This window comes from Homo sapiens, chromosome 8 (assembly GCF_000001405.40).
Source record: "Homo sapiens chromosome 8, GRCh38.p14 Primary Assembly".
Lineage (NCBI taxonomy): Eukaryota > Metazoa > Chordata > Mammalia > Primates > Hominidae > Homo > Homo sapiens.
The window spans coordinates 55,829,114-55,839,384 of NC_000008.11; positions in this window are offsets into that span (position 1 = coordinate 55,829,114).

Consider the following 10,271-nt stretch of genomic DNA (forward strand, 5'->3'; position numbering starts at 1 on the left):
TCACTCAGGCTAGAGTGCAGTGGTGCAGTCACAAGTAACTGAGTCACTGCAGCCTCGACCTCCTAGGCACAAATAATCCTCCACCTCAGCCTTCAGAGTAGCTGGGACCATACGCACATGCCACCATGTCCAGCTAATTGCTAATTTTTTTTTTTTTTTTTTTGGTAGAGACAGGGTCTCACTATGTTGCCCAGGCTAGGAGTGTAGCTTTTTTTTTTTTTTAACTTTTTCTTTCTATTTATTTATTTATTCTGATTTAGTCAAATGCCAGCATTTTCTTTAATACTTTCTTTTTTTTTTTTTTTTTTTTGAGATGGAGTCTCTCTTTGTCACCCAGGCTAGAGTGCAGTGGTGTGATCTCAGTTCACTACAGCCTCCACCTCCCAGGTTCAAGCAATTCTCATGCCTCAGCCTCCCAAGTAGCTGGGGCTACAGGTGTGTGCCACCACGCCCAGCTAGTTTTTTGTAGTTTTAGTAGAGATGGGGTTTCACCATGTTAGACAGGATGGTCTTGAACTCCTGGCCTCAAGTGATCCACCGGCCTTGGCTAAAGTGCTGGGATTACAAGCATGAGCCACCATGCCTACCCAGAAAATAGCTGTTTATTTAGATTTTGACTTAATATAAAGTTAATACATTATCTCATACTTGCTTTAATTCTTTTTTTAACTTTTCATTTTTGAATAATTTCTGACTTATAAAAAAGTCTGAAAAATAGTACACAGAATATCTCCAACTACTCAGAAGTAGACGCAGTAGTTATCTGCTGCCATCATCATGTTGCCATGTCTGTGTCAATATATACTGTTGTTTACTTAATTTTTAAACTTAAAAGTGATTTGTAAAGGAATTACAAATACTGCCATAAATAAGAAATCACTCTCTTAATATTTGCATATTAATATGAAAAATGTTCATTAATTTGTTATCTAAAAGAACACTGCAGGCCAGGCGCAGTGGCTCACACCTGTAATCCCAGCACTTCGGGAGGCTAAAGCAGGTGGATCACCTGAGGTCAGGAGTTCGAAGCCAGCCTGTCCAGTATGGTGAAACCCCGTCTCTACTAAAAATACAAAAATTAGCTGGGCATGGTGGCACGCGCCTATAGTCCTAGCTACTCGGGAGGCTGAGACAGGAGAATTGCTTGAACTAGGAGGTGGAGGTTGCAGTGAGCCGAGATCACACCACTGCACTCCAGCCTGGGCAACAGAACCGCCTCCGTCTCAAAAAAAAAAAAAAAAAAGAACAGTGCATACCACACTTCAGGGAAACTTGGAATGGGCGATGGACAATAAAGATAAAGACCCATATTGTTCCCTCCAGGAGCCGTGTACATGAAAAGTCTGCCCTTTGAACTGTATGGTACATTATCATAGGAGACTGTAGAAAGTTTCCAGGTTAAAAGGTTGGGATAAGACATTCCAAGGAAGGAAACAGATTTAGAAGGCACAAAGGCAAATGAAGGCTGAGCATATGTGGGCATCAGTAAATGCTGAATTCACTGAGAAGTCACCGAAGTTATGGCTGATGAGATAGCAGGGTCTCCTGTGCTGAGCGGAGGAGTGAGTACTGGCTGCCTCCTGAAGGCAGTGGGAGGCTTTCAGGCTTTGAAAGCTTGGTGAAGCCTAAGGGCTCCAAGTCAGAAAAAAAAATAAAATTAGGCCGGGCACAGTGGCTCACGCCTGTAATCCCAGCACTTTGGGAGGCCGAGGTGGGTGGATCACGAGATCAGGAGTTCAAGACCAACCTGGCCAAGATGGTGAAACCCCATCTCTACTAAAAATACAAAAGAATTAGCCAGGCGTGGTGGCAGGTCCCTGTAATCTCAGCTACTCGGGAGGCTGAGGCATAGAATTGCTTGAACCCAGGAGGCGGAGGTTGCAGTGAGCCGAGATCTCGTCACTGCACTCCAGCCTGGGCGACAGAGCGAGACTCTGTCTCAAAAAAAAAAAATGCTTTTAAATGCATAGAATAAGGCCAGGCACGGTGGCTTATGCCTGTAATCCTAGCACTTTGGGAGGCCGAGGTGGGCGGATCACTTGAGGTCAGGAGTTCAAAACCAGCCTGGCCAACACAGTGAAACCCTGTCTCTACTAAAAATACAAAAAAAAAAAAAAAAAATTAGCCGGGCATAGTGGTGGACGCCTGTAATCCCAGCTATTCGGGAGGCTGAGGCAGGAGAATTGCTTGAACCTGGGAGGCAGAGTTTGCAGTGAGCCGAGATCATGCCATTGCACTCCAGCTGGGGTGACAGAGCAAGACTCCATCTCAAATAAAATAAAATAAGTAATAAATAAATGCATAGAATAAAAGCCTAGAGGCCAGGCGCAGTGGCTCACATCTGTAATCCCAGCACTTTGGGAGGCCGAGGCGGGCGGATCATGAGGTCAGGAGTTCGAGACCAGCCTGACCAACATGGTGAAACCCCATCTCTACTAAAAATACAAAAATTAGCCAGGCGTGGTGACAGGTGCCTGTAATCCCACCTATTTGGGAGGCTGAGGCAGGAGAATGGCTTGAACCCGAGAGGCAGAGGTTGCAGTGAGCAGAGATCACGCCATTGCCCTCCAGGCTGGGTGACAGAGTGAGACTCCGTCTCAAAAATAAATAAATAAATAAGAATAAAAAGCCTTAGCTATGAAAATGTCAAGAAAATGTGTGGTATAATAAATGTGTGCTTTTTCATTAACACATTAAATAACATCTACTGGAGGGTCTACTAGTACTACAATTTCAGTGGTGGTATTACAGCAGCTAGAATATTACCCTAAAATATCTACCTTTCTGTCAGTGGCAAAGCAGAGATACTGCTAAAAGCTGCTTTTTTGTTTGATGTGTTGACATCCACGTTCACAGACAGCCTAAATTCTGTCCATGATCCTCTTAGTGGTTTGCAGTTTCCAGGTAAAGAGCCCCCTCTTAGAGAGGTCACTCTAACACAAAAGAATTAGACCAGAGGAGAAGCAGGGAGACCATATGCACCCTGAGGGGTGCTCAGCCAGCCCTGGGGAAGGAGGGGAGGGGCAGATTTGAGAGAGGTTCTGGAGGCAGAGCTCACAGGAGAGAGGCAGATTTGAGAGAGGTTCTGGAGGCAGAGCTCACAGGAGAGGGGCAGATTTGAGAGAAGTTCTGGAGGCAGAGCTCACAGGAGAGAGGCAGATTTGAGAGAGGTTCTGGAGGCAGAGCTCACAGGAGAGGGGCAGATTTGAGAGAGGTTCTGGAGGCCGAGCTCACTGGAGAGGGGCAGATTTGAGAGAGGTTCTGGAGGCAGAGCTCACAGGAGAGGGGCAGATTTGAGAGAGGTTCTGGAGGCAGAGCTCACAGGAGAGGGGCAGATTTGAGAGAGGTTCTGGAGGCAGAGCTCACAGGAGAGGGGCAGATTTGAGAGAGGTTCTGGAGGCAGAGCTCACAGGAGAGGGGCAGATTAGCATCAGCCCCATGGGCAATGCATTACTCTTCCCAACCCATTATCAGTTTCTTGAAACCTGGTAAAACAAAGCTATCTTTTCAGCAAGAGAAAATAGGTTGATTCTCAAGCTTTGAATGGGATAGGCATTCTGTAATTAAGTGAGGTGCCTAGTGAAAATACTAAAGAATATTAATGGAGGCCCCGGGCACAGTGGCTGACACATATAATCCCAGCACTTTGGGAGGCTGAGAGGGTCAGATCACTTGAGGTCAGGAGTCTGAGACCAGCCTGGCCAACATAGTGAAAACCCATCTCTACCAAAAATATAAAAATTAGCTGGGTGTGGTGGCACCTGCCAGTAGTCCCAGCTACTCAGCAGGCTGAGGCAGGACAATTGCTTGAACCGGGGAGGCAGAAGTTGCAGTGAGCCGAGATCCCGCCACTGCACTCCAGCGTGGGCGACAGAGTAAGACTCCATCTCAAAAAAAAAAAAAAGAATATTAATGGGAATCATCTATATCTGCACTGTTTGATAGGGATATAATGTGAGCCATAAATGTAACTTTGAATTTTCTTTTTTTTTTTAAATGTAAAAATCAATGGTTTGTTTTTTTTTTAATACTTTAAGTTCTAGGGTACATGTGCACAACATGCAAGTTTGTTACATATGCATAAACATGTCATGTTGGTGTGTTTGGTATGCTGCACCCTGAGTTTTCAAGTAGTCACATTTAAAAAATTAAATAAGTGAAATTAATTTTAATAATATATTTAACTCTACCCAAAATATCATTTCAACATGAAATCAGTATAAACAATTATTAATGAGAGATTTTACTGTTCTTTTTAAATAAATTTTTGATATCCACTATTTTTTTTTTTTTGGTGTTTTTTGTTCTTTTTTTTAGGCAGATTCTCTCTCCGTTGCACAGGCTGGAGTGCAATGGCGTGGTCTGGGCTCACTGCAACCTCCGCCTTCCAGGTTCAAGCCATTCTTCTGCCCTCTGCCTCCCAAGTAGCTGGCATTACAGGCGTGCACCACTATACCCGGCTAGTTTTTTTTGTTTTGTTTTGGTTTGGTTTTTTATTTTTAGTAGAGACGGGGTTTCGCCATGTTGGCCAGGCTGCTCTCAAACTCCTGACCTCAGGTGATCTGCCCGCCTCAGCCCCCCAAAATGCTGGGATTACAGGCGTGAGCTACCGCGACAGGGCTTTTTTTTTTTTTTTTTTTTGAGACAGCGTCTCCATCTGTCACCCAGCTGGAGTGCAGTGGCACAATCTTGGCTCACTGCAACCTCTGCCTCTCAGGTTCAAGCGATTCTCCTGCCTCAGCCTCCTGAGTAGCTGGGATTACAGGCAAGCACCACCACGCCCGGTTAATTTTTGTATTTTTAGTAGAGACAGGGTTTTGCCATGTTTGGCCAGGCTGGTCTCGAACTCCTGACCTCAGGTGATCTTCCTTCCTCGGCTTCCCAAAGTGCTAGGATTACAGACGTGAGCCATCACATCCAGCCAATATGCGCTATGTATTTTAAACTTACAGCACATCTCAATTTATACCAGCTACATTTCATATTTTCACCAGCCACATGTAGCTATTTGCTAAAGAATTCCATTTAGATAATGCAGATCTAGATTTCTGGAGAACAAAAAGCATGCTATTTTGCATTTTGAGGCTTTTGCTACTTTATAATTAAAGCTACAATGCTTAGGAATTTGGACTTCATCCTTGGGTGATAGGGAACCACAGGACTTTAACCCAGAAAGTGAAATTACCAAATTTGCATTTTACAGCATGGAGGATGAAACACTAAATCCTCCTTAGACCTAGGAATATGAAGATCAGTCTTTTCCTGTATTTAAAGTAAGAGTTTAGGAAGTTCTAAATTAAGGTTGCAACAATGCCCAATTTACTCCAGTCCCAATTGAAATTAATTCATGATTTTTTTAATCCTTCAAATAATTGAGAATTATGTAACTGACATTTAAAATAGTAAATGTATATGCTAAAGGTTTTGTTAAACAGTAGTTTCCCCATTACCTGTGGTTTCACTTTCCACAGTTTCAGTCTCCGTCAATTGAGGTCAGAACATAGGTGAGTACAGTACAATAAGATACTTTGAGAGAGCGACCACATTCTCAAAACTTTTATTACAGTATGTGTTATAATTGTTCTATTTTATTATTAGCTATTGCTCTTGATCTCATCCAGTTCATAACTTATAAATTAAACTTTATCATAGATGTGTATGTAAAGGAGAAAAACATAGTATATATAGGGCTCAGTACTATCCAAGGTTTCAGGCATCCACTATGGTTCTTGGAACTTATCTCCCACAGATAAGGGGGACTACTGTAATTGTTACAGCCATTTCTTTTTGGATGTAGACTGGATGTGGGTCTTGGATGAATGAGCAAATGCTAGTCTATTATGATAAAAATCATTCACCCACTCACTGGCCATGCTATCACAAGTGCCTTTTGCAAAAGCTATGCAAGATGGCTGAGAGCTCTTTAAAGCTCACTTCCAAACCAAGCCTGTGGTCACAGCTGGAGGATCCAAGTAGGTATCTTTCATTCTCATGCAGTTTCTTGTCTGGTGTCCCTGGCATCTGTCTGTTGCCTTGTCCCTACTCGACTCTCCACAGTGATGCATTGATCAGACTGGCTACCGAGCTGTCTATTTCCAGTTAGCCTCCAGACACTGACTTGATCCATCCTGGCCTCTTGGTCTTTAGCCCTTGGTCCAGTCCAGCCTCAGTCCGACAGCCCAAATGTTCCATGGAGAGGTACAGCTAAGTAAATTTTATTACCTCCATTCAGTGCAGTGTTATGTAGTCCTTACACAGTATGACTATTAAGACTATGAAAACAAGACTGGGCATGGTGGCTCACTCCTGTAATATTAGCACTTTGAGAGGCCGAGGTGAGAGGATAGTTTGAGCCCGGGAGTTTGAGACCAGCCTGGGCAACATAGCAAGACTTTGCCTTTACAAAAAAATCAAAAATTGTCTGGGCATCCTGGCTCACACCTGTGGTCCCAGTTATTTGGGAGGCTGAGGTGGGAGGATCGCTTGAGCCCCACAGGTCGAGGCTGCAGTGAGCTGTGACCACACCACTGTCCTTCGGTCTTGGCAATAAAGTGAGACCTGGTCTCAAAAAAAAAAAGATTGTGAAAACAACATGCTTTTTTTTTTCGAAATGTTTACAGTTCAAAAGAATCTCTAAGGCATATTCTATGGCACGAAGTAGAGCACTCTATGGCCCCTTTCTTATGTCTGGCTACCACCTCATGCTTGACCAGAGCGGGTCCTGTGATTACTGTCTGCTCAGTTTTGTAGGGGCCAGCACATCTATATTGTCCTACTCTGTCCTTGGTTACCTCAGACAAACATGAGAGGCCCCAGGGGAGCCAAGAGTGGTCTGAAAAGGGTAATTTCAAGGTCTACCCGTTAGGACCCCAGCACACTCAGGCAATTTGTGCTCTTTGTGCCCCACTGCAGACTTACTACGTGTATACATGTCCACAAAAGTTAACACCTATGCTAGGAAAGATACTGTTCCTTGGAATAGCCCTATACTCTTGTCTTGGAGAAAATGCAGACCAGTTTGAAACAACTGTGGCTCATCTCCCCAGAACTGACTTTCACACAAAGGGCTTTTAATTTTTTTTAATTTCTTATCAGATTGCTAGTGATAGTAGCACCATCTGGTGTCAAAGTTCTCTCTAGAGAGAAATGTTTTCTAGTTGCATTTTACCAGACAACTATAACAGGTAGGACACCATCTGATTTGAGATTTTGTATTATATGAAAATAAAACCATCACACAGTATATATAATATGAAACGAAGCATAGAAAAAATGGACAAAATACTACACAGGGTATGAAAGGTAGATATTTGAACTGTCATCAGATATTCATTACTGCTTCTTAGTAATTCCATTTATGAGACATTAAAATGTAATTCGCATTTTATCAATTATTTTTTGAATTTTGCATCATTTTGAAAAATATCTTCTAAAATCTTTACTAATTAATGGATGACTTAAGTAAATGATATCTTTAATGTAAAGCATAGGCCGGGCACGGTGGCTCACGCCTGTAATCCCAGCACTTTGGGAGGCCAAGATGGGCAGATCATTAGAGTCCAAGAGTTTGAGACCAGCCTAGGCAACATGGGGAGAGCTCATCTCTTCAAAAAATACTATAAAAAAATCAGCCAAGCCTGGCCAGGCGCAGTGGCTCACGCCTGTAATCCCAACACTTTGAGAGGCCAAGGTGGGGATGGATCACCTGAGGTCAGGAGTTCGAGACCAGCCTGACCAATGTGATGAAATCCCATCTCTACTAAATACAAAAAAATTAGCCAGGCATGGTGGTGCATGCCTGTAGTCCCAGCTACTTGGGAGGCTGGGGCAGGAGAATCGCTTGAACCCGGTAGGCGGAGGTTGCAGTGATCCGAGATTGCGCCATTGCGCTCCAGCCTGGGCAACAAGAGCGAAACTCTGTCTCAAACAAACAAACAAAAAAAATTAGCCAAGCCTGATGGTGCACGCCTGTAGTCCCAGCTACTCGGGAGGCTGAGGTGGGAGAATCACCTGAGCACTGGAGGTCAAGTCTGCAGTGAGACATAATTGCATCACTGCACTCCTGCCTGGGTGAGAAAGTAAGACCCTGTCTCTAAATAAATAAATATGGCCTGGTGCAGTGGCTCACGCCTGTAATCCCAGCACTTTGAGAGGCCGAGGCAGGTGGATCACCTGAGGTCAGGAGCTCAAGACCAGCCTGGCTATCATGGCAAAACCCCGTCTCTAATAAAAATACAAAAATTAGCTGAGTGGTGGTGCACGCCTGTAATCCCAGCTCCTTGGGAGGCTGAGGTAGGAGAATCGCTTGAACCCGGGAGATGGAGGTTGCAGTGAGCTGAGATCGTGCCACTGCACTCCAGTCTGGGAGATAGAGCGAGACTCCATCTCAAAAAATAAATGAATAAAAAATAAATAAATAAATAAATAATGATAAATAAATAAAGAGCTAGTTAGTAAGTATGGTAGCCAGGATTCATACCGACGTACTCTGTCTCCAGAATCACTATGACTTCTGCCCAAATGAGACTTGAACTGATGACCCTCTATGCCTTAGACCTAAGGGATACAGAGGTGAGTCTAGAAATGAGTCTCTCTCTCTCTGTGCCTTGGTTTCCCCATCTGAAAAATAAAGATAATGACACCTGTCTCATAAATGGTCATAAGGATTACGTGATTAATGTTTGTAAAGTGCTCTGTGTGTCTGGCACCTGGTAAGCACTCGCTAAGTATTAGCCATTATAAAGAAAAAATGAGGGATCAAAGACAGTTGCAAGAATGCTAATAAGAAACCTTCCATTTTCATTATGTGAAAACTACCTTCTTAAGAATTTTATGATTTCTTTTTGCAAATTAGTATTTAGAGGCATTCTATTAGAGTTGTGGTGTCTTAGAATGTGGTGAATGGGAGAGAACAACCGGGAACGGTGGCTCATGCCTGTAATCCCAGCACTTTGGGAGGCCGAAGCAGGCAGATCACTTGAGGTCAGGAGTTTGAGACCAGCTGGCCAACATGGTGAAACCCTGTCTCTATGAAAAATTTGAAAATTAGCTGGGCAGGCCAGGCGTGGTGGCTCACACCTGTAATCCCAGCACTTTGGGAGGCCGAGGCAGGTGGATCACGTGAGGTCAGGAGTTCCAGACCAGCCTGGCCAACATGGTCTCTACTAAAAATACAAAAATTATACCAGCGTGGTGGCACGTGCTTGTAATCCCAGCTACTTGGGAGGCTGAGGTAACAGAATTGCTTGAACCCAGGAGGCAGAGGTTGCAGTGAGCTGTAGATCCTACCATTGCACTCCAGCCTCAGCAACAAGATCGAAACTCCGTCTCAAAAAAAAAAAAAAATTAGCCAGGCATGGTGGTGGGTGCCCATAGTCCCAGCTACTTGGGAGGCTGAGGCAGGAGAATTGCTTCAACCCAGGAGGCGGAGGTTGCAGTGAGCCAAGACTGCACCACTGCACTCCAGCCTGGGGGATAGAGCGATACTGTCTCAAAAAAAAACAAACAGATGAAAGGTGGAGAACAAGAAAACCAAGAGAAAAGGTAAAAAATTGAGTTACTGTGTTTTGTTATTTTGAATCCTAAAACCTTCACCTTCCTGATCACATTGTTTTAATCATAAACACTTCTTGATATTGGGCTTGGGGCTTTAAGACTGTAATTTGATCCAGTTTGGGCACTTACTCTATGATTTTCGATAATTCATTCAGGGTCTCTGACACTTTGCTCATGAAAATATAATCGGCCGGGCGCAGTAGCTCACGCCTGTAATCCCAGCACTTTGGGAGGCCGAGGCGGGCAGATCACGAGGTCAGGAGGTCGAGACCATGCTGGCTAACACGGTGAAACCCCGTCTCTACTAAAAATACAAAAAGTAGCTGGATGTGGTGGCGGGCGCCTGTAGTCCCAGCTACTGGGGAGGCTGAGGCAGGAGAATGGCATGAACCCGGGAGGCGGAGCTTGCAGTGAGCCGAGATTGTGCCACTGCACCCCAGCCTGGGTGACAGAGCAAGACTCTGTCTCAAAAAAAAAAGAAAAGAAAATAGAATCAACAATTCCCGGCCAGGCGTGGTGGCTCATGCTTATAATTGCAGCACTTTGGGCGGCCAAGGTAGGCAGATCACGAGATCAGAAGTTCAAGACCAACCTGGCCAACACAGTGAAACCCCATCTTTACTAAAAATACAAAAATTAGGCCAGGAGCAGTGGCTCACACCTGTAATCCCAGCACTTTGGGAGGCCAAGGTGGGCGGATCACGAGGTCAAGAGAT